At 39.3% G+C, this 25,558-nt stretch overlaps 1 protein-coding gene and 1 pseudogene across 1 annotated transcript in view; one reads left to right on the top strand and one right to left on the bottom strand.

The window, feature by feature from the left end:
* Positions 1-25,558, bottom strand: part of SV2C (synaptic vesicle glycoprotein 2C) — a 506,476-nt gene that overhangs the window by 410,758 nt on the left and 70,160 nt on the right. The gene's annotated exons all lie outside the window — the stretch shown is intronic.
* LOC100996384 (aconitate hydratase, mitochondrial-like) lies at positions 21,300-22,516 on the top strand (annotated as a pseudogene).

Here is a 25,558-nt window from a genome sequence, read left to right as displayed (position 1 = left end):
AGACCCTGTTCCTGAAGGACCCCACTCTTTGTTATCTTTCACTTTAGAATGTGATCTTGCTTTCTCAGAGAGTGCTTAATGCTACACTAATGGCCACTTTCAGACCCAGCTCTGTGCAGACACAGCTGAGTTCTCTGTCCCAAGTCAGGCATTTGCTTATTTATTTGTTTGTTTTTGTTTTAATGAGATAGGGTCTGACTATGTTGCTCAGGCTGGTCTCCAGCTTCTAGGCTCGGTAATCCTCCAGACTCAGCCTCCCTAGTAGTTGGGATTACAGACATGCACTATCGCATGTGGCTCCAAATGAGGTTTCTTAATTCGATTAACACAGTGTCAACCTTAACAAATGAATCTTCCTTTAATCCAAAACCCTAAAACTAGTGAAGGAATAACAGTAAATTGATAAACTAATTCATGTTAAGAAGTTACTGACGGAAGCACTTTTCCCAAGATAGTTGAGTTTGAACAGGGAACTCAAGATGATATAATGATTTGATCCCTAGGAATAAATTATGAATGGTAGGAATGTCTGCATATTGTATATCATTTAGGACACAGATTCGAGTCTAGCTGTAGAAAAGGCCAAAGGAACAATAGCTTACATAAGTTCATTTATTTTTCTCTCATATAACTGACAGGGAGGCAGCCTAGGCTGATTGATAGAACTGCTCCACAGTGCTGGACACCCCAGTCTTTTCTGTTTCCTGGTTCCACCACGCTCATCCCAGTTTCTGTCTCATGGTCTAACATGGCTCCAGCTCTAGCCATCACGTCTTCCCACCAGTCAAAAGTCTGGGCCTCTGGAACATCTGATCAACCAACTAAAGGTTGTGGTTTCCATGACCCTCTCTTTGAGTTCAATTAATTTTCTAGAGGAGCTTATAGAACTCAGGGAAACCCTTACTTATGTTTACCAGTTTATTACAAAGGATATTTTAAAGAATACAAACAAACAACTGGATGAAGAGATACATAGGGCGAGATCTAGAAGGATCCCAGACATAGGAGCTTCGGTCCCCATGGAGCTGGCACCCTCCCAGCACATGGATAAGTTCTTGTTCACCCTCCTGCAAACCTCCATGTGTTCATCTGTCCAGAACTCTCTTAACCTTGTCCTCTTGGGCCTTTTATAGAGAATTCATTGGATAGACATGATTGACAACCATGTAGAAATGTGATTGGACAAAAAGGATATGAGCTAATACTATAGGCTAAGTTGGGGAACTCACCAAAGCCTATCTGTTCAGATTCTTCCTGGCCTCTCTGTGCAGCATTCCTTTCTCCAGGGTATGGGTAGGACCCCATCTGAAATGAAGGTCTTATGACCTACAATCAGACAAGGTAGGTCAGAGAATTTATTTATGTCCAGCTCCAAGGTAGAAAGGCCCAAAAAGATTCCTACCTTGGAGAAAGAAAGGAGGTAAAGGAAGGCAGGAGAAGGTCAGAGAGATTCTGCTTCCTGAGGCCTGCCTCTGAGGCCTAAAGTGCCCCAACATTATAACAAAAGACAATAACAAGGGTTATAGGAATTATGAGCCAGGAGCTGTGGATGAAAACCAATGTATGTATCATAATATCATAGGTATTTTAGCTGGACAGCCATATACCTACCTTAAATTTCTATTACTAGAATTAAAAATGAGAACATCTATAAGGAATAAAACTGTCAGAGTCTGCCACAGTAATTTTGATAAGGGGGATTTTTTTGTACATCCTTCAAATACCTGGTGGCTATCTTATAACAAGCATATGTTGAATAGAAAGGCACTGGGCTTTATATTATAATGTAGATATTGGCTATAGAAGATGTTTAAAGTAACATTTTAAAGCCAATATCTGTTTTAGAAGTTGTAGATAAATCGAGCTTTTGATTAAGAATTCTATCTTAAACCATGAATGGCAGTATTTTCAGTTTATTAAAGACGCAACCAATTTTTGTTTATTTAGATTTAAGTGAGCGAGAAGTAATGATGAAAGAGGAGATGAGCTTCTTTTTTCTTTATTTTTTCTAATAAAACTGAAGCTGGTATTGCACCAACTGAAAGGTTCTCTGGGTTCAAAGCAACCTGAGACATCACTTACAGAATGATCATTCATGAAGAAATTTGCATAATGTATGAAATTCCAAGAAAAAGCCATTGAGCTCTTTAGCTTATAAACTTTAACAGCTAATAAAATCTGCTGAAAAATAAATTATTTCCCTTAATTCACCAAACCAATAAATTAAGTTTTACATGTGGGTAGATAACCTTATAAAGAGCTTTAGGATCCTAGGCAAGTGGTGAAGCAAGCGCAAAATTACACTTTAAATACACACTTTAGATAATATATTCTTATGACCTAAGGGTTATCTACTTCATTTATAAAGTAACCAAAGATTAAGAATCTCTTGCACTTTAAGTCCCTCCAACCATTAACCTTCCAATCTTGTTTTCTCATCATGAAACAGTGTTGTAACTACTGTTAGGATCATTTGCCCTTTCCCCTAATTCTCTTTCATCGATTTGGTACAAGTCAACTCTAATAGCCAGGAGGACAGTCACACTCTGGAGTAAGAAACACACCCATTAAGAAGTAAATCAAGTGTGACAGAGACTCCTGTCTACAGGATATTAGAGTCTTTGTGAATTGTGCCTGGCCTGCAAATTTTCTTGTAAACCAAGAGAACCATTAACCAGTGGGAAACAATTTTATTCCCATCAAAACAAAGGCATCAAATATTAAGAACAAAACCTGACTGCACAGGCGAGTGAAAAATGCCAATTATCACTTCAATTCTTTTTTCTTTTTTTTTTGAGACAGAGTCTGGCTCTGTCATCGAGGCTGAAGTGCAGTGGCACAATCGGCTGAAGTGCAGTGGCATAATCTCAGCTTACTGCAACCTCTGCCTCCCATGCCCAAGTGATCCTCCCACATCAGCCTCCCAAGTAGCCCGGACTACAGGTGAACACCATCGTGCCTGGCTAATTTTTGTATTTTTTGTAGAGATGAGGTTTTGCCATGTTGCCTAGGCTCAATTTTGTTTGTTAAATAAACATAAAATGCCCATTGTATACTAAGCATAGTGCTTGTACTGGAATTACACGGATTAAAAAGCAAGGTTTCTCTCTTCAGGAAGCTGACAGTCTTGTGGTGGAGACACTCCTGCACATATAATTTCAACATGGAATGATAGTCGCAGGAATGAGGTTCAGTTCTCAGGACGATGGAAGGAGATCTTGGGTAGAACTGAAGGCGGGGCAAGGGAAGGGTTGCTGGAAAGGATGCAACTGAGCCAGACTTGAACTAACCAACAAAGGAAGCCAGGTGAAGATGGGGAGGAGAGAGGTTCTAGGTAGAAGGAACAGGTGAGTGAAGGCACAGGGACTGTAATAAACATTGTATGTGCTGTGTGGGATGCCAGAGCAGGGCAGAGGGCAGGGTTGGAAAGGGTAGATTTGGGAGTCAACTGCATTTCAAGTCATGTGATGCTTCTGGGTTCTAATTTCACCTGACCTGACTAAAATTATCGCACAATTAGACGGAGAGAAGGGGGTTGGGAAGTGTGACTGTGCAGTGAGGTTAAGGAAATGCACAACCTTGAATTTCCCCAGTTGGAGGTTCAATAGACAATGTCTGCTTTGGACCGAATTGTGTCCCCCTACCCCGCAAAAAAATTCATATTTTGAAGCCCTAACACTATGATGGTATTTGGAAGTGGGGCCTCTGGGAGGTAATTAGGTTTAGATTAGGTCCTAAGGATGGGGCCCTGGTCTGATGACTTTAGTGTCCTTATAAGAACTGAAATCAGAGAGATTCCTCTGTCTCTCCCTCTCCCCTGTCTGCCATGGGAGGACATAGAAAGAAAGTGGCCCTCTACACTCCAGGAAGCCGACCCTCACCAGGAACTGAATCTGCTAGCAACTTGATCTGGACTTCTCAGCCTCCAGAACTATGAGAAATAAACACCTGTTGCTTAAACTACCCAGCCTATGGTATGTTGTTACAGCAGCCCAAGCAGACAAATATATATCAAAAGCTGAAAAACCAGGAGGCTGGGGCTGGAGTATATGGTACATTGAGTGCTGGCCCTGGCAATAATGGTGAAGGGTCTGGAAGTATGATTTTGCACTTCATGCTCTGGAGGCCCTCCCATCTTTCCTGTTTAAATGATAGCCTAGTGACAAATGATATTAACTTGTACAAGACATTCCCCTGCCTCTCCCCAGGGTTATGAACCATTTTGCCATTGTTGTAATTCCACCCTTTACCACCCCCAAATCAAGAAAGGAAGTGAGTACTGTTACTCTAGGGAGCTCACAAAATCCACTGTGATTTATATTAAAAGAGTGAAGGTATTATAAACTTTGGTCCTCAAGTTAGAAACATGTTACTTTTTTGGTAAAAGATATATTGAAATATACATATAGAAAAGGACACTAATCGTAAGCATACAGGTTGTCAAATTATCAAAACTAAAAATATACGTGTTACCAGATCAAGAAACAGAATATTAGCAGTGCCCCAGACCCCGCTACACTCCCTTCCTGTCACCACCTCTGCCAATGACAATTACTGCCCTGAGCTCTGGTACCACTGATTCATTTTGCCTGTTTTTCGAACTTTATATAAATGAAATCATATGGTATGTATCTTTGATGTTTAGCTTTTTTAGCTCAACATTTTAAGATATTCATTCATATTATTCCGTGTAGTCGTGTTTGTAAAACCCCATTGCCAGAAGGTGTTCCATTTTATGATTAAACCACAATTTATTTACCCATTCTACCACTGATGGGCATTTGCATTGTTTCCACTTTATCAGTATTATGAATGGCACCACTATGAGCATTCTTGTGCATGTCTTTTGGTGAACACATGTATGCACTTCTATTGAGCATATACAGGCAGTTCTCATCTTGCATAGTACCAAAATGCACAAATTTCATTTACCACAGTGTAGTTAGATAACACCAGTCCTCGAGCAACACAGTTTAAATTTCAATTACCACTGTATATAAACTATGAGAAATTGCAGAAAGTACTAACTTTGCCACTAGCCATCCAGTCCACAAATCATTATGTAAATAACAGACGGGCATCATGGTCAGAGACCAATCATGTCTCTTCTTTCAAAGTCTTGGGTATTACACATCTGTTATTCAGTTCACACACAGACAGCAAAACCTATACTTGTGTTGCCTCCTTGTCTCCCAGTGATAAATCCATGAGATTTATCAATTTTTTTATCAATTATCAATTTTATAAAAATTGATAATTAAAAGAAGAAATTGGCCAACAAAGATGAAAACGCAAAAAAAAAGAGATAATGCTAGAGGTGAAATTTAAATTGAACATAAATGAAGTTATAGAAGAATTACAGTTGGTTATGGGAATGTTGATGCTACCACTGACTGGAAGACCCTAGCTGTTGCAGTTAGAGAAATAGTAATGGCACAGTTTTGTTTTGTTTTGTTTTGTTTTTTTGTTTCTTTAGACAGAGTCTCCCTGTGTTGCACAGGCTGGAGTGTGGTGACGTTATCACAGCTCGCTACAGTCTCAACATTCTGGGCTCAAGAAATCCTCCCACTTCTGCCTTCTGAGTAGCTGGGACCACAGGTGTATGCCACAATGCTGGGCTAAGTTATTTATTTATTTATTTATAATAGAGATGGAGTTTTTCTATGTTGCCCAGGCTGGTCTCAAACTCCTGGGCTCAAATGATCCTCCCATCTCAGCCTCCCAAAGTGCTGGGATTCCAAGCATGAGCCACTGTGCCCAGCCAGGGCTCGTTTTTTGACATAAATGATGAAAGTGATTGTGATGAAAAAGATGAAGATGTAAAAGAGGAAGTAATGCTGAGAAAAAATCTTCACAATAAACTCTAAGATATTTCACAAGATTGAAAGCAAAATGGATAAAATGTTGGAAGCTGATCCAAACTTCACAAAGAGTATGACAATTCACTAAGGCATAGAAAAGATGCTTGCTCCATATGGTATGTAATAATATGAGAAGAAGGTAATTATTGTTTAAGCTGTTTGACAATATTTTTACAAAGAAATTAAACACTTTAATTCTCAATGTTTTTAATGTCTTAAATTGCTAAATACAGATTAGTGTTACTATCTTTTAGATTTCTTTATGCCAGTGTGACAGAAAGAGAGGGTTTAACGTTTTGACAAAGTTTTCTAAAGATCACGAGACAACTGCAATTTTCCCATTGATTATTAAGATGGTTTTACACAGTTTCAGCTTGTGTGGCCATTTTTATGTCTCCCACTACTGTGCAAAGCAAGGACTGCTTGTGTTGATAGCATAGTTCTAGATTAAGGTAACGAACATTTGACACACTGCTCAACTGGCAATCAGTTCCTCTCATAAACCTCTGTCCATTGGGTTTGCCGTAAAGACTATGTTCCAATGAGAATCAATAGACCAGTAAGTCAACTTTAGTCCTTATAAGGTATAAAGCAAAATGAAGAGTGAATAATGATTAGACACTGGTTCAAGAATATCTCAATACCAGCTATCCCTTTTCTTTGTTCATAACATATAATGGCTGTCTTTAGCCATATAAACTCAAGCTTCGTCAAAGTAACGCATCTGTTAGCTGTGGCCCACCCCATATGTCACTGTCCACAAACTTCTGCCTAAACAGGCCTTTAGATATAAAATTGGCTGCACTTTAGTAGCCGGAGCTGAACCAGAAACAGTGACTATTTATGGATGAACCTTTACATACTATTAATAGTTGGAAATTAATTTCACAATTCAAAAAGTAAAATATTAAATGGAGTAAACTGACACAATCAAAGTCTTTCTCCAAAGTATTTTCCAGAATTTCCTCAGCCCAAGATGGTAGTGAACCTGTAGAGACATAGACCCAAGGATGATTAAAAACAAGCAAACAAAAAGCAGAGGAGGACAGTCCCCAGAGGAGAATTGTGCAGATGTGTCAGGAGAAATAGATGTCAAAGAACCTGGGCGCTGGAGAGAGAGAGGGAAGACATAGCCTTTGAACTTCCCTACTCCCTTGAGGCCAGATTGCATGAGTTTCCTAAGATTCTCCTACATCCTTTCAATAAACTCCCTTAATTCTACTCATGCTTTTTAAATCAGTTTCTGTTTCATGTAACAAAATATACCCTAATGTCACATCCCAATAATATCTCAATAATTTAGCATAACTTGATGCTACATGAAGCATACATAGAGCTTAAAGTAGACATCTATAATTTAATCTATCAAAAATTTTATAGTTTTGTAGTTATAACTTTTTATTTCTGTTTTAAAATTACAACAGTAACTTATGTGTGGATAGTCAGTGTACAAAATCTAAATGATACAGAAATGAATAGAAAACCTGTAGCTATGAATCCTTTTACTTCCTCACCACAGATTAGTCAATCCTATCCCCTCTCCAGAGGTAAACACTAATAACAATCTCTCTGATCTGTTGCATGCCTCTACATATATGAATGTTACGTACTTCTTAACACAAACAGTATAATACTATATTTATTCGTTCGCAACTTGCTTTTTCAATCATTCGTGTGTCTTAGAGTTCTTGTCAGTACATTTATGTCTTCCTGATGCTTTTCAACAGCTCTATAGTATCTATAGTGTTGATAATTATGCTCTTAATTATACCCATAACTTTTACCCTTTCCCTATTGATGGTTATTTTCAATTTTATACTATTTAAAATTACACTGCAATGATTTGTAAAAAAATCACTGTGCGTGTGACTATTTCTGGAAGGTAGACTCCTAGAAATGGAATTACTGGGTCAACTTTCAGAGCTAATTCCAAGTTACCTTCAAAAGCAGGTACTTATTAACCCTCCTACCTCAATATATAAGAAACCACATTTCTCCTACACACTAACCAACCCCAAATACTAGATATTACCAATCTTTTTATTTAAAAATTAGTAAAATCTTTACCAGCCTAATGGGAGAAAAATGTTTTGTTGTTTTAATTCTTATAATTCATAGAGCAAGCACGTAGTGAATTTTTTATTTTATTTAATTCAATTTTGAATATCTATTTTAGAGCACATAACTTCATATTGGAAAATCAAATATGAAATTTCAATCATGTCTGAGAAAAATCAGTATATAAACTGTAACCATATAGGAAATATATTTTAAAAATAGCAACATTTCTTGTAAGTTAGCAGGTAGTTAAATACATTGGTAGCATTTCTATATATTAATATTTTGTGAGCATATGCTCTTTTCCATGATATAACAAAGGTTAGTGCACAAAATAGAGAAAAAAGGATGATGTAAAATGCAAAAAAAAAAAAAAAGTTAACTTTGCTCAATCTGCTCTTGCCCATGATATCAGCATCAATATGTGCTCACTACTCTTCCTTGACTCTCTATAACCCTGTAGAGGAGAGATTATAAGTGCAAATGGCCCACAGTGATCATGTACCCCCACACACCACCATAGGACAGTAGAACTCAAAAGCGAAATTAATAAGAAGGCAGTGACACAATGGAACTGATTTCTTTAAGGCCTAATCACTCTAACATCCTTTTTCAAAATTTCTTACTGTAAAACAAGGAAAGAAAGAAACCAAAGCTGAATTTAAAACAAACTCTGAGGCCAGGCACGACGGCTAAAGCCTGTAATCCCAGCACTTTGGGAGGCCGAGGCAGGTGGATCACGAGGTCAGAAGTTCGAGACCATTCTGGCCAACGTAGTGAAACCCCGTCTCTACTAAACATAGAAAAAATTAACCAGCTGTGGTGGTGTGCGCCTATAATCCCAGCTACTCAGGAAGCTGAGGCAGGAGAATCATTTGAATCAGGGAGGCAGAGGTTGCAGGGAGCCGAGATCGCGCCATTGCACTCCAGCCCAGCGACAGTGAAAAAAAAAAAAAAAAAGAAAGAAAGAAAAAAAGAAACAACAACTCTGTTTACTACAAAATAAAGCAATGTCATTTGGTCTCAGTGGAGCAAGTTATCCAGTCACAGTCTAATGCAGTGAAGAATTAAGGTGCTCATTGCTCCTGCAATCAGATCATCTGGGTTTGAATCCCAATGTCACCTCTTACCTTGGATAAATCACTTTCAGCTGTCCAAACTCCATAAAATGGAGATGGTAGTAGTAAATTCTCCATATAATAGTTGAGATTAAATGAGAATTGAATGTGATAATCCTTATAAAGTTCTCAGCCTCTGTCTGCTACTACCTAAATGTTAAGTAATAGTGTCTAAATTTCATTGGGTTGAATCTTGATCCTGTTTTACAGGCTGCCTGTGCCCTACAGTGAGAGGGTATCCCCAAAGGGCTATGAAAGTGTAGGGGAACGAGGAGCCTTTCCTGAAGCTAGATACAGTGGTGAAAGCAAAGTTAGTTTTGGTCAGGCAGGCAAGATGAGAATATAAAGCTTGGACAGATGATAGACAGAAAACTGGAGCAGGCTGCTATAGAAGAAAGGGGTAATTAAGACAGGAAAGTGAGGAGGAAGGCATGGCAGCAGTTGGCCTGGAGCCAAGATGGTTCCTGCTGCATGCAGAAGGTACTTACTTGCCTGTGTCAAAACTTCCAGCTGGGCAACTGGCTACGGTGCTACTGGTTATCCACTGATGGTCCTGCCCTAGGGTAGTTCTTCCCAGTCTTTAAAGGAGTCTGGCTCCTTGAATAGCGACTTCAAAGAGAAACAGCCAGGAGACTAAAGAAACTCAGGCCTTTCTTAGGAAGGGGAGAAATTCAGTCCTTTCATTCATTCAGTCAGTATTTATTGAATATCAACTAGGGGACAAGAACGGGGCCAAATGATGAGGATATAATTGATACAAACTGGCAAACAGAACATGAGAAACTCGTCTTTGAGAAGTTTGCTGTCCAGTAGAGGAAGACAAACTTAAACATGTGAGTAAGCAAGTGAATATATAATCACAAATTGCAAGCAGTACTATGAAGAAAAAAATAGGATGCTATATAAGAGAACAGGAGAAAGATTCTTATTTATACTCTTAGGTTGGTGATGATGCGGGGGTAGGGTTAGGAAAGGCTTCTCTGAGGAGGTGACAGTCAAGTTAAGCACTAATGGATAAGGAAGAATTAGATAGAGTTGTAAGAAAAACTCCCATAGAGAGGAAACATCAGTTGCATAGACCCTGAGGTAGGAATGAGCCTAATAGGATCCAGGAACTGCAAATAAACTGCAGACCCATGTGCCAGGGGCAGCAGTGACACAGGATGGAGCCAGAAGTATAGGCAAGGACCAGATGATACAGCGTATTATGATGCCATTGTCATCATTTATTAAATAGTTCCCTTTGTATCAGCCCCTGTGGAAGAGGGGAAGGAAGTGAGAAATGGGGGGAACAGGACCTAAGCCTGTCATAAACAGGCCTTAAAGAAACTGGCCATAAACAGGATTTCTGTAGCAATGTGACATGCTCATGACGGCTATCATGCACACTTCTAGAAGTTGTTGGTTTACTGGAGCAGGGCAAGGAAAACCTGGCCCGCCCAGAGTGGAAAACTGCTCAAACCACAGACAATAGCAGGAGCAGCCTGTGCCTTAACAACATGCTTTTGCTGCAGATAATCAGCCAGAGGCTGTTTCTCTGCTCTTCACGAAGAATGCTTTGTTTACTGTAAGGAATGCTTTTAGTTAATCTATAATCTATAGAAATAATGCTTATCACTGGCTTGCTGTCAATAAATATGTGGGTCAAACTGTTTGTGGCTCTCAGCTCTGAAGGCTGTTAGCCCCCGATCCCACTTTGCACTCTGTTTCTGTATCTTTGTCTTAATTCCTCTAGCACTGCTGGGTTCGGGTCTCCACAACCGAGCTGGTCTTGGCAGAGAAAGATGGGGCAGAGCAAGACATGAACTGAGTGGCAGACCCAGATGATAGCCACAGCCGATCCCATGTGAAGCTCTGCAGCTAGAATGGCTATCCAGAGTTGCCCAGAGTTGGCCAAGCCTTTATACTCCCAAGATGAGTGGACCCTGGATGTAGGGCTCCCCGGGAAGAAGGAAGTGGCTCCCTGTGTCTGAGGCCAGCCTGCAGGGGCTGACTGTTGAAGACATCTACCAACAGCATTCCCAGAAGCCAGACTGCTCACTGTGTTCACCATAGCCATGGTCTGAGATGGTTGGGATTTATTCAAATGCCGTGGGAAGCCTTCAAATGATGGGAATGAAGTGAGCAACACAATATGGCTGCTGTATGGAGCCTGGATCAGAGGCTACAGCTTGGAAACAGAGAAACCAGTCAAGAGGCTGCTGTTCAGGTGAGGGATGCCGGATGCTGTGGCTAGGAAGGAAGGAGTGGAGGTGGAGCGACGTGGAGAAATTCAAGATATACAGAAGAAGCACAAAGAAAGGAATTAGTGAGGGCTTATTTCCAGCAATATGAAATCATAACACGTTATGAGAGAAAAATGTGAAAATCAAAGGCTATGCAAAAGAACCCAATCAATATTCTTAAAATCAAATTTTATTTATCCAAGTGGCTTTTGTAGGATATTGCAAAGAGAATCTGATTACTTTGGGATATAGCTTTGAACTTGCTCTCTTTCAACCAGTTAGGTTTAATGTGGCCTTAGCTTTCCATTTGACATAAGCATAAAGGGCCAGCAGTGGATTGGCCCCCAAACAAGTGACCAAAACAACATTTATGGAAAAGCCAGCATTTCTTTTGGAACAAAACTGCCAGACAAAGATTTGCCTACAGTTTACAAAAGTGAGAACAAAGTTACACGCAGTTACAAAGCATTTTGATTGATCACCACCTTGAAACATAGTATTCTGGAGCAGCATATGATCCAAGTATCCCATTTTATAGACAGGAAGACTGAGACTCATGGCAGATGATTGACTTATGACCACATAGAAGATTTGTGACCAAGTGTAAACTAGAATTCAGCTTTCTTCTCCGGAGCATTTCCCTCTATGGCTCACATCCCTTCAAATGGTTAGATGTGGAGGAAAAGCTGCAGAATTGAAGCTCCTAGACAGTTATTCCTAAAACTAGGATTCTATCTCATAAGACAGGACAAGGAAGGTTTGCTCATTATTGTTTTTTGTTTTTTTAAAGACCGAGTCTTGGTCTGTCACCCAGACTGGAGTGCAGTGGCACAATCTCGGCTCACTGCAACCTCACCTCCCAGGTTTAAGCAATTCTTGTGCCTCAGTTTCCCTAGTAGCTGGGATTACAGGCATGTGCCACCGTGCCTGGCTAATTTTTGTGTTTTTAGTAGAGACAGGGTTTCGCCATGTTGGCCAGGCTGGTCTTGAACTCCTGGGCTCAAGCAATCCACCCACTTCAGCCTCCCAAAGTGCTAGAATTACAGGCACGAGCCTCCAACCCAGCCTGCTCATTATTACTCTTCACCAAAGAAACTGATGATCAAATCAACATAAATGGCCCATAAAAGATCTAACGTATTATTCTCTAATCTGTCTTATCTTTTGAATATAGATTTTATTCACATTTTCAAATTTTTGAAAGCTCCCTAAAGCTTTAAATGTGCCATTAGGACAGTGCTCACGTCCATGGATTTCCAACTTCCATATCATCAATTTTCAGTGTCTTTATTCTTTTTCATAAAGGTCAGTGAACAAAAATTGCATTCTGAGATGCAATCTCTTGGATGATAGACCTTCTAGAGAATCTGCCTAATGTTCCAGTCATCACAGACACACAGCAAAGACAATTCCTGACCCAGGAAAGAAATAACATGTCACTGAGACCTTTTGTATGAATCTTTTTGTTAATAGAACCAGTGAGCTTCAACTGAATTCAATCTTAAATTTCCAGAGCACCACTGCTGGATGCTCACAGAAAAAAACTGGCGCTCCTCTAGGATATCTTAAAATTTACAATTGGTAACTTCTGTCTTTTTCCAGAATAATATGAGGAAGCATGAAACTTTTCCCTGCTTGCATTTCTTCCTGGTCCCCTTCCCAAACGTCTGCACGCTGCACCTGACAATAATATGTCAAGAAGGGAGTAAGGAAAGAGGTAGAAAAGATGAGGCGGAAAGCAGGGGGAGAAGCGGGGGAAGGGAGGGAAGAAAATTTAAGGGTTAGGGAGGGGAGGGGAAAAATAGTAGGGACTGGAGGAAAAAGGAACAGATCAGGGAAGAAAGCAGAAAGGAGAGAAGGCTTATGAATTAGCTCTCATTAAGCTTTTCCTTTCATTCTTTTCTCCTGGTAGCTAAGAGGAATTTGAAGACATTTCCATAAACATTTATTTTTGTAGGTACAACAGATAGGACTTTGACAGCAAAAGTTCTGATAATTATCCAAATGTATATTAACAGTCTGTATTCAGGACTTTCAGAGCTTTAAGATACAACCAATATTTTACAAAACGTAGTTTTCTTCTCTTAAAATGAATTAGATAATAACCATGCTTAATGAGCAAATAAAGACTGGAAACAGAGTATAAAACTACATAAAATAATTTCTATAAAGTGATTAAGATGGTAGCTGGCATGTAGAAGCTCAGCAAACAATAAATTATTGTTATTTGTGTAATGTTGCAACCCAACAAAACTTACAATAAAATTAGTTGTGTACATATACATAAGTGTATATGCATGTGGTAATTAGCCATAAGTTCTCATAAATTCTTGTAATTAATATTACCTTTACAGAACCAGATCTAGTTTTTCTGTTTTAGAGCTCTGCATCTTTATAATGTACCACTGTTTATGTTTTCCCTAAATGCAGTTTAATCCTCTTTGCACATTCATGATAATCACATTCCTAGAGGCCATAGAGGCCAGATAAGTTCCCCCAAGCAGATGCCGCAGCTTCCCCACCATGCCTTAGGCAAACACTCCCTGGGCTCATCTGGAAGGGGGCTGGGCTGGGCACCTGAGGGTAGAAGAGCTCAAGGGTCCTGACTGTGGAGTATGAACTGTGCAGCATCCCCCAGAGAAAGGACAGGTGTGAGGGGACAGGCTGGGCACAGGGAGACTCAGAGCGAGGTGGTTGATGTGTTTGAGAGGACAGAGTGACAGTCAACCCTGGACACAGGGGTGTGGAGCAGAGCTGACTAGTAGGTTGGGTGAGTGGGATCTAGTTGGGCCAGGATTGGATTCAGGCAGGGCTGGGGACACCAGGGAACTTTTTAATGATTTGGGGGAGGCCTCTAAGCAGAGAGAATTTGAAACCTAGCCATAATGAGTGCAAAATGGCAGAGATAAGGTCAAAAGAACACAGGGGTTCCTCTCTATGCAGGCAGAGGAAAGAAGCAAAATTATTCTCCCCTTCCTGTCATGCTTCATGCACTTGTTCTTTTATTAATATTCCAATTGTACTATCCAGGCATTTCCTCCAGTTCTCCCATCTCTCTAGGCTTCAGGATGCAGACTATAGATAGAAGTTGGTAAGGTGAGATGGGGTCTGGGGAGTGGAAGATGGAGAGAGGAGACTGGGAACAGAATTTCTTCCAAGCTTCCTTAAACCAAATTAACCACAGAGGGATGACACAGAGACAGTAAGAGTACTTAAACTCTGTGACTCCATCACGAAGTTTTGAGGGTTCAGTGCCTACTCCCCAGCCTCTATCTTCAAAAATGGGGATTGTAATCATTTTGGGGATTATATATCCTTCTAAGGTTGAGGAGGAAAAAGCTACATAATCATTTCCCAAGCAAATGCATCTGCATCCAAAATTCTGATTACAATTGCAGGGAGTTCATAGACCCCCTGGATAAGTCCAGGGACCACAAGTTTAGAATAATTAATACCTACATGTGTTTACCATGAATCACATCCTAATACTAAGTAAATACATGCAGCAGCATAAGGGACTGAACATCATCTCCCGGGCGTTTTCAGGGCCCAAACTCCCAACATTTCTGCAGTTTCCAGGGGATCAAATGAGAGAGCTAAACAATGAAAACAAAACCTGCTTCATGGTCATTTCTCTCAGAGTTTGAAATGAAATAAAATTAATGACAAGGACAAAGCATTTTTTAATGGATACAAAGTTTCTGTTTGGAGTGATGAAAAGTTTTGGAAGTAGATGGTGGTGATGGTTGAATATCACTGCAACCTTCATTAATGCCACTGAATTATACACTTAAACTGTTTAAAATGGCAAATCTTATGTTATATACTGTACCACAATTAAAACAAGGCTAAAAAATTATATTTTAGAAAAGGAGGAAAGTGTGAGCATACCAATAAAAAAGAATCCAATACTATGTCTGGCATGTAATAGACACTCGATGAAAGTTACACTCTTCTCTCCCTCAACCCCGGATATGGGAATTCCTGTAGGGCTACCACACTTCCTGGTCTTTGGTGGCTCCTGTAGAGGGTTCCTTCCCTTGCTCTCTCACCCTTTCTTTTGAAATTTTTTTTAGCTTTATTGAGGTATAACTGATGTACCAAAAATTGCACACATTTCATGTGTACCTCTTGCTGAGTTTGGAAATGTGACTACACCCATGAAACCATCATCACAACCAAGGCACTAAACATATCCATAACCTTCAAAAATGTCTTTATGTTCTTTTGTGGGGTTTGGGGGGTTTGTTGTTATTGTTTGTTTGGTAAGAACACAACATGAGATTATCCTCTTCCATTTAGAAGTATGCAATACCATATTGTTAAACCTATGTACTATGTTGTACAGCAGATATCTAGTACTTTCTCATCTTGTGTAATAGAAACTTCATACCCATTGAAAAATAATTTCCCATTTCCCCCTCCCCCCATCCCGTAGCAATCACCATTCTAATCTCTGCTTGTATGGGTTTGACCATTTTAGATACTTCATATAACTGGATTCATATAGTATTTGTCCTTCTGAGACTGGCTTATTTCACTTAGCATAATGTCCTCTAGGTTCACATATGTTATCAAAAATGGCAGGATTTCCTTGTATTTTTTAAGGCTGAATAATATTCCATTGTATGTTTATATCACACTTTCTGTATCCATTCATCTGTCGATGGACATTTGGGTTGTTTCCATATTTCGGCTATTATGAATAATGCTGCAATGAACATAGGGTAGGGAACACATTTAAACCATAGCCCCTTCCAGCTCTCAATCTATAGGATCCATAGCTCCTCTCCAACAGGAAAATCATGCACTGATATCCACCTGCATTACACATAATCTCATACATTAATGGAAAAAATTATGCCTCGAGTCCTCTAGAATCTTAGATTTTCATATTCAAAATTCAGGCTTTTGCAGTCAAATCTTCTTCCGCCAAATAGTAAAGAGGCTCAAGAGCCCATTCTGAACCTCAAACTTGAGAAGTGGTTTCTATTTGTTTTCTCTGCTGTAATATTCCTTCCAGAGGAAATTGATACCTCTAGTCTAGTTTGAATGGTGAGAGTATACAAGAGATTAAAAGGAACGGGAATTTTTTCAAATGGTTAATATATTAAAATGTTGTACCCTATTCCTCAACTGTGAGTGTTTACCAAAGGATTTTGTCTTTGTGTGGCTGTGCATACATGCAGTTTGGCAGGAATACAGATCATATGCACAGTCTGGCCCCCATCAGCCTGTTCTTTTTTCTATTTGTCAGCAATATCTGGTTATATGTTCATCAGAAATATTTTGTTTCCATCATTATTATAGTGGCTTGGATTCAGAGCCACTAGATCCATAGAATATGCAGATAAAAAGTAGAATCAGCCTATTCAACACATTTCAGTAGTAGCCAAGAAAATTCAGGCACCGAGCAGGAAAAACAAAAATGGAAAAGATTTATGTGCTTAAGAATTAATAATTGGGTATCACTCTTTGAACCAAAAAAGAATGCAAGAAATACTTTATCAGTAGCAAAGCTCATTAGTTCTTTTAATACCAATTGTAATGTCCCAAATCCCTCCTGTCTTTCCAAAAATGTTTTATTATATTTGATAATTTTTTCATTGAAATGAACTGAAATAACTCTGAAAGAAACTTCTATACAGCTTGGAGCAGATGAGAGTTTGGGTAAGCTCAAAGATGAGAGTTTGGGTAAGCAGATGAGAGTTTGGGTAAGCCTTGGAGCAGATGAGAGTTTGGGTAAGCTCAGTGAGAATTTATATCTGTGTCAAGCTACCCCGGCTTCTAATTCTTTTCCTAATTTATATATAACTTTGATTGAATATTGCCATTTTCTATCAACCGCAGTTAAGTGAGATCTTAACAGAAGCCATTTCAACCTGAAACTTTAAAAAAGTTCAGATGTTAGTGTTTCAATGTTCAATAATTTTTATAGACTCCTACTGTCTCTGGTTTAAATATGAGTCAAAGAAAGAGAAAGTCCAACGAAACCCAAGTGATTCATGGAAACCTAAGATTAACTTGTTGTCCAGCTCATTTCCAGGGTCACATTGCAGGTAGATGATAAACCATCTTACTTTAAAAATCTGCATAGAGGTAGATTCTATAATTTTTTTAAATTGCTTACTCTAAGAATCTATGTTCTTTGTGCTTTTTTTTGTTTTTTAAAAAAATCTTTTAAGATTATAAAAATATTTATTTTTTAAATGAACATAATATAGAAAATATTAAAGAGGAACTCTCCCTCTCCATCCCCATGATACTGCGATTAGCCTGGTGCTAATCACCAAATACAAGCAGAGTTTGAGCACTTGAGTCCTCAGGTGACTCAGATGTCCCTGGGACATATCTGTTCAATCCCAAGGGCCACCCTCCAGCACTCTATGTGTATGGAGATTGGAAGGGAACTGTCCTGAAGGAGTGCCCATGAGAAGTTTGACCTAATTCTGCCAGCTACCTATATGGTGTATGGTACTGGCCCGTTCCATTACTATCTGAGTCCTATGAGGGTATTGGGAAATGTGATTAAATATCGTAAAAGTAATTTCACTACACTGTTTACACACTGGGGCCAAGGCAACTACCTTAAGACCCTCTCTCACATTATGACAAAACTAAGAGAGGGATTCTTTCCTGGGGTCAGAGGTGCTCAAGTGCCTCTGTGCTGAGCCTGATGGCACAGAAGTCCGGCCTTACTGCCCACTGGGAACAGACGTGCTGGTGAGCACATTTTAGAACTTCCCAGCTCCAGGACTGGGGGATTTATTTGGAGCATGTTTTGTAAAGAGCTGTGGTTCCATATAACATAGGAAAGAGGTAGGACCAGAGAAATAAGTGTTTTTACTAATAGTGTAAACCCCTTAGTATCTATAGGCAGGTGAGGGCTATGAAAACTCATATTAAATAACCATAACTTTTTATGATTCAATAATTTTATTTCCTAGGGTGTTTTGTATACTGTATTTTTCATTATTTAATGAACAATTTATTTCATTTAATATTCTTCAAAACATCCTTTTGTTTTGTACTAGCTTCTAGATATCCCATCTTGATTTGGAAGGTCTCCCCCATTCCTAGATTGTACACATAGTCTGTTCGATTTTTCCTATTTTATTTTTATGATCAAACTTCTTTACTCATTTTGAATATATATATATATGTATAAATTTTCAAAGAAAGGCCTAATTTTAATTTCCTCCAGACAGTCAATTGGGGTAGCATCATTTATTAAATAACCCAACCTTTGCCCAGTGAGTTAAAATACCACTTTGTCATATATTAAGGGCTGCATAGTATGTTATAGATACCATAATTTATTTAAGAAAGGCAGCATATGTGATAGTTAAGATGTAAGATGTAGATTCTAGAGTCAATGGCATGGGCTTGACATTTATTAGCTATGTGATCTGGAGTAGGTTTCTTATTTTAGCTCAGCAATTTTTTATTTATTTTTATTGTATAAGACAAAAGGTTTGACTAAGAAATACATTTTGAAATGAATATTTTTTTATTTCAATAGTTTTTGGGGTACAGATGGTTTTTGGTTACATGGATATGTACTTTAGTGGTGATTCCTGAGATTTTAGTGCACCTGTAACATGAGCAGTGTACACTGCACCTGATATGTAATATTTTATCCCTCATCCCCCTCCCAAACTTCCCCCAAGTCCCCAAAGTCCAGTATATCACTCTTATGCCTTTGTATCCTCATAGTTTAGCTCCCACTTCTAAGGGAGAACATATGATATTTGGTTTTCCATTCCTGAGTTATTTCACTTAGAATAATGGCCTCTAGCCCCATCCAAGTTGCTGCAAAAGACATTCTTTTATTCCTTTTTATTGCTGAGTAGTATTCTATGGTGTATATATACCACATTTTCTTTAGCCACTCATTGGTCAAAGGCCACTTAGGTTGGTTCCATATCTTTGCAATTGTGAAATGTGTTGCTATAAACATGCATGCGCATGTGTACTTTTCTTATAATGACTCTTTTCCTTTAGGTAGACACCCAGTAGTGAGATTGCTGGTTCGAATGGTAGATCTACTTTTAGTTCTTTAAGGACTCTCCATACTGTTTTCCATAGTGGTTGTACTGATTTACATTCCTAGCAACAGTGTAAAAAGTGTGCCCTTTTTACCACATCCATGACAGTATCTATTGTTTTTTGACTTTTTATGGCCATTCTTGCAGGAGTAAGGTGGTATTTCATTGTGGTTTTAATTTTCATTTCCCTGATGATTAGCGTTATTGAGCATTTTTTCAGGTTTGTTGGCTATTTGTATATCTTCTTTTGAGAATTGTCTATTTATGTCATTTGCCCGCTTTTAGATGGGATTTTTTTTATGCTGATTTGTTTGAGTTTCTCATAGAGTGTGGATACTAGTCCTTTGTCAGATGCATAGTTTGCAGATATTTTCTCCACTGTGTTGGTTGTCTGTTTACTCTGCTGATTATTTCTTTTGCTGTGCAGAGCTTCTTAGTTTAATTAGGTCCTGTTTTGTTGTTGTTGTTTTTGTTGCATTTGCTTTTGGGGTCTTAGTCATTAATTCTTTGCCTAAGCCAATGTCCAGAGAGCTTTTCTGATGTTATCTTCTAGAATTTTTATGGTTTCAGGTCTTAGATTTAACTAAGTCTTTGATCCTTCTCGAGTTGATTTTTGCATGAGGTGAAAGATTGGGATCCAGTTTCATTCTTCTACATGTGGCTTGCCAGTTTTCCCAGCACCATTTATTAAATAGGGTGTCCTTTCTCCACTTTATGTTATTGTATGCTTTGTCGAAGATCAGTTGGCTGCAAGTATTTGTCTTTATTTCTAGGTCATCTATTTGGTTCTATTGGTCTACATGCCTATTTTTATGCCAGTATCAAAGCTCAGCTATTTGTTTGCTTTGTGACCACGGGCAAGTTACTTATCCCTCTGTGCCTCAGTAGCCTCATCTGTAAAATGGGGATAAAATATTTTGTTATTTCCATTAGTTGATATGTTCTGTTGTGGTAACAATTCAATTCCCTATGCTCAGTGCTTAACACATCAAAGGTTTATTTCTTGCTCTAGTCACTGTCCAATGTGGGCCAGGTGGCTCTCTTTGGTGGCTCTTCTCCATGTGATGATTTTGGGATCTGGGTTGCTTCAAACATGTGGTTCCTAAATTGCCATGGAAGAGAAGACAGAGCTGAAGTGTCACTCTGAGTGATCTTTGGACTTAGGTCTATAAATGGCATATGTTACTTTTGCCTGTATTTATTGACTAAAGTCACATAATTTCCAACTGAACTGCTAGGGAACCTGGGAAAGACAGTCTTCTTTTATTCCCAGGGTGAGGAAATGTTTTGATTAACACAAAGTGCAGTCTCTGCCATAACTATTTGCCTTCCAGAAAGGTTATACTGATTTACATTCTCACCTTTAGTAAATGAGACTACTTACTTCTATTCACTATTGCCTATAGCAGTTGCTATATTTCTTACTTTACTTTTTATGAGTTGTATAAACTGAGAAAAATGACAAATTCAATTTTTTTATTTAATTTTATTAATTTTAAAATTAAAATTAGCCACTTACACTTATTTGTCTTGTTTTATAAATTTCCTATCCATTGAGCATAATAACAGCTGAGTTAATTAAGCAGCTTGATAGACTGGGGGGAAAGGACTAGATTTTGAATGAGAATATTTAGCTTTGAGTACCAGATCTATCACTTATGGCCTGCATTATTTGGTCCTCCTTAAATTCAGTTATTTAAATGTGAAAGAGGGAAAATAATATATATTTCACAGGACAATATAGAAGTTAGTAAAATATATGTAAACTATACATATTTTTAATATATATCATTTATCTATGTTCTTATAAAACTTCATACATTCCTTTATTGAGTCATATATTCAGTTTTCGATGATCTCTTCTATCTGTTTCTTCCACTAGACCATGAGCTTTTTGAATGGGTGCATTTGTGTTTGTATTCCTGGAGCCTACTACAATTTCTAACATACAGTAAACTTTAGATGATTGTTTCTTGAATGAATGAATGAATGAATAAACAAATTGATGATATTGGATCCATTTTAGACTTTACAGGCTTAAAAAAAAAAACCCTGCTATATATTTGTTTATTAAATCTTCACAACAATCCTTGGCACGAGCTTGGTAGATACCATGAGCTTCTGAAACAAAATGCTAGAGAGCCTCAAATATTTTATACCCTCTGTTCTTTGCTGGGTATATCCATTGCTGTTTACCAACAGATAAAAGGGGGCCCCCGCATTGGCCAGTGGGACAGGAAAAACATCAAGAAGGGGGAGAAGAACACAATTGTCACCTCCTACAACAGGAACTTCACGGGCCGCAATGACACAAACCCCAAGACCATGCCTTCAATCATCTCCCCAGAGATTGTCACAGCCCTGGCCATTGCAAGAACCCTAAGTTCAACCCAGAGACCGACTGCCTTATGGGCAAGGATGGCAAGAAGTTCAAGCTGGAGGCTCCAGACGCAATATGAGCTTCCCCAAGCGCAGTTTGACCCAGGGCAGGACACCTACCAGCACCCCCCAAAGGACAGCAGCAGGCAGCATGTGGATGTGAGCTCCACCAGCCAGCACCTGCAGCTCGTGGAGCCTTTTGACAAGTGGGATGGCAAGGACCTGGAGGACCTGCAGATCCTCATCAAAGTCAAAGGGAAGTGTCCCACTGACCACATCTCGGCTGCTGGCCCCTGGCTCAAGTTCCACGGGCACTTGGAGTACATCTCCAACAACTTGCTCATTGGTGCCATGAACATTGAAAACAGCAAGGCCAACTCCGTGCACAATGCCCTCACCCAGGAGTTTGGCCCCATCCCTGACACTGCCCGCTACTACAAGAAACATGGCATCAGGTGGGTGGTGATTAGGGATGAGAACTACCGCGAGGACTCGCACGGGGAGCACACAGCACTGGAGCATCACCTCCTCAGGGGCCGGGCCATCATCACCAAGAGCTTTGCCAGGATCCACGAGACCAGGGCCTGCAGGGCCTGCTGACCCTGACCTTCGCTGACCCAGCCCATTACAATAAGATTCACCCTGTGGACAAGCTGACCATTCAGGGCCTGAAGAACGTCTCGCCTGGCAAGTCCCTGAAGTGCATCATCAAGCACCCCAACGGGACCCAAGAGACCATCCTCCTGAACCGCACCTTCAAGGAGACGCAGATTGAGTGGTTCCACACCGGCAGTGCCCTCAACAGAATGAAGGAGCTGCAGGAGTGAGGGCAGTTCCTCCCACCCACCCCCCACCACCCACTCCCTATGCAGTGCTGGCATCATGTTCAAGTTCAGGTCCACATGCACTATCAGAGGATCCAATCCAGCCAGCCATGGCTTCTTATTCCAAGATGGTGTGACCAGACATGCTTCCTGTTCCCCGCTTAGCCCACTGGGTGGCTGTGGTTGGGGGGGTTTCTTAAAATAGCTTTTTAGCCTCTGCCTTCCTATTTTTAGTTTGGTTCAGATCTTAGGCAGCTCCATGCAACTGCATTTATTTTTGATGACAAGACTCCCATCTAAAGTTTTTCTCCTGCCTGATTATTTGATTGGTGACTGAAGGATTCTAGAGAAACTTTTGTTCTTGAAAGGAAAACAAGAATCCAAAATCAGTGACCAAAAAAGGAGGGCCCAACCTTTAAACCATGAAGTCAGTACCACATCCTTGTTCTCAGCTCCTAGATAATGCTCTCCACCTGTATAACTTCACCAGCGTTTACTCTCAGAATGCCTTCTGTGCCCTTAGCCCCCTTCTAAGAGTTCCTGTCCATAGATTCTTACTTAAGAAAGTGACGTAGTCAATTCCTTTAACTTCTATGGCCATGTGTTTTACTGCATATCTCTACCACCCACCTATGTTTTGGTCTAGCAGAGAGACCATACCCAAAGGCAATGAATCTCTGAGCTGACCATTAGTCCAGAAAGAGGCCATATACTTCAGCTTTGTCCAACAGGTATGACAGCAGTTAACCAAAACTTATCAAACTCTTACACTTTGGGAATTGGGGGTTTGAAATACAGAATTTGGCAGAGAGTAAATTATACCAAAGCAGAAAGACAATGAGAATGCTGTACACAATTGTCAAAGTCAAATGCTTGCTGTCCAAAATATCACTACAACAGCCTGTGGATAAGACAAAGCTGAGTGTATTGTTTACCTACTAAGAAAGAACATCAACAAAGCCTTATTAACAGTCAGGATACTGATTGACATTTCAAAGTCTGGTTTAAGGTAGGTTCTTTTGATGATGGAGAGGAGTTTAATTAGGATGAGAGCAGGGTTATGATAAAATAATTTAGGATTGTTGCAGACAGCTAGGTGAGAATTTTAAGAGAACAAGGTTTAGGATGCATTCTATAGAAGAGTTCATGGATCTTTGGGGAAGTTACGGGAACCAGCAATAATATTATTTGAAATTTTTATCTTCCTGGGAAAGAATTGCATTTAATAGTAAAGTTATATTGATGAAGACAGCCAGCTGCATAGACAATTTTGATTCTCATCACAAAGCAAAAGAAGCAAATAAGTAAACAGAAGCATAAGGTAGAAAAACACTGTCCAGAGAAGAAAAACAGAGGATCTGAAACACACCGATAGGGGAGGGCCCGGTGACCAACCTGAACAGCAGAAAGGATGTTTTTTTCTCTCTGATCTAGCCTTTCTTGCTCTAGACAATCTGGATCATCATGCTATCCAGTCAGTAACTTGTACACTGTTCTCATGTTGAGCAAAAAGAGTAAACCAATCCAAACAGAGTATTCCATACTAAGCTTTGGGATCACAAGTTTAAATTCTCACTTACAGTTCCATTCAACAACTTTGGAGATGGAGGGAATCCCATTTGGATATGAGAGAAAAAATTACCAAGTCAAGAAATCATGAATTCTGCCGGAATGTTTAAAACTTCAGGGCATCAGGCAGGGAGTAAAAGCTCATTATGCAACAAATATCAGATCTCACAGCTCGCTTCACATACGTACTACCCTGTGAACTGAAACATGTTCATATTGGAAGTGCATTTGTTTCCAGTTACAAAAATGTGCTGGTTATGATGGATTTGGGAAATATGCTTGTTCTTCTGCATATCCACTCTGTGGTGTAACTCTTCTTCCCTCTTGTTATCTGACTTCTGCTTCCACTTGGGATATCTATCACTCTTGTTATCTACCACAAGCTCCCAAAATTCCATCATTCAAGAGTTAGTCCTTTTTGTTTTGATTAATAGCAACAGTCTGAGTGGTGGATGATGTGCAAAGAAGAGCCACTCATGAGGGACAGACTATAGCTTCTCACACACACAAGCGGCATGGGCCATAGAGTAGAAAAACCATTAGGTCTGTTTTGTGCCAGAAATCTTTGTGATGAGTAAGTTCTTCCTCATATTTCTAAACTTGGAGCTTTTTCCCCCTTAGAGCCTACATCTTTCACGAAGATATAACATTTGCTGAATTAAAAAGTCACACCAAATTGTCATTGAAATAAAAATACGTATGCAACTATCATTCTGTTCAATAGCCTATAAATTACATAATGTATAGGAAAAAGAATATAAAGCCCCTGTTTATTTCTTTTGGACACACCAAAAAGAAATTTGTCTGCAATCGTTGTATTTACCAAAGTGTTGTAGTGTTGCCTGGAACAATCAATAGAAGGTTACTTTTCCTTGAGTATCACAAGGTAGTGCAATCCCAGCTCTGCGAATAACTGGTTCTGTGACCTTAGACAAGCTACTTAACATATTATTTGTTCACTTGCCAAATAAATATTTCTTAGGATTTAACTATTTGCCAGGCTCTGTGCTGAAAACTGGATAAAATGGCAGGTAAAATACAATCCTCACCCTCCATGGCTTTATAGTATAATAATATCTTCAGCTGAAAAATAAGGCAATAACTTCTACTTCAGAAGTTATGAAATTTTATTTTTAATTTTTGTGGGTACATAGTAGGTATAAATATTTATGGGGTATATGAGTCTTTTATATAGGCATGCAATGTGAAATAACATCATGGAGAATGAGGTATCTGTCTCCCCAAGCATTTATCCTTTGAGTAACAAACAATCCAATTACACTCTTTAAGTTATTTTAAAATATGCAACTAAGTTATTATTGACTATAGTCACCCTATTGTCCTATCAAATAGTAGGTGTTATCCATTCTTTCTATTTTTTTGGGGTACCTATTAACAATTCCCACCTCCCCCAGTCCTCCCACTACCCTTCCTAGCCTCTGGTAACTATCCTTCAACTCTCTATGTCAATGAGTT

This window comes from Homo sapiens, chromosome 5, assembly GCF_000001405.40.
Source record: "Homo sapiens chromosome 5, GRCh38.p14 Primary Assembly".
Taxonomy (NCBI): domain Eukaryota; kingdom Metazoa; phylum Chordata; class Mammalia; order Primates; family Hominidae; genus Homo; species Homo sapiens.
The sequence above is the reverse complement of the archived record's forward strand: the minus strand, read 5'-3'. Positions and strand labels throughout refer to the sequence as shown.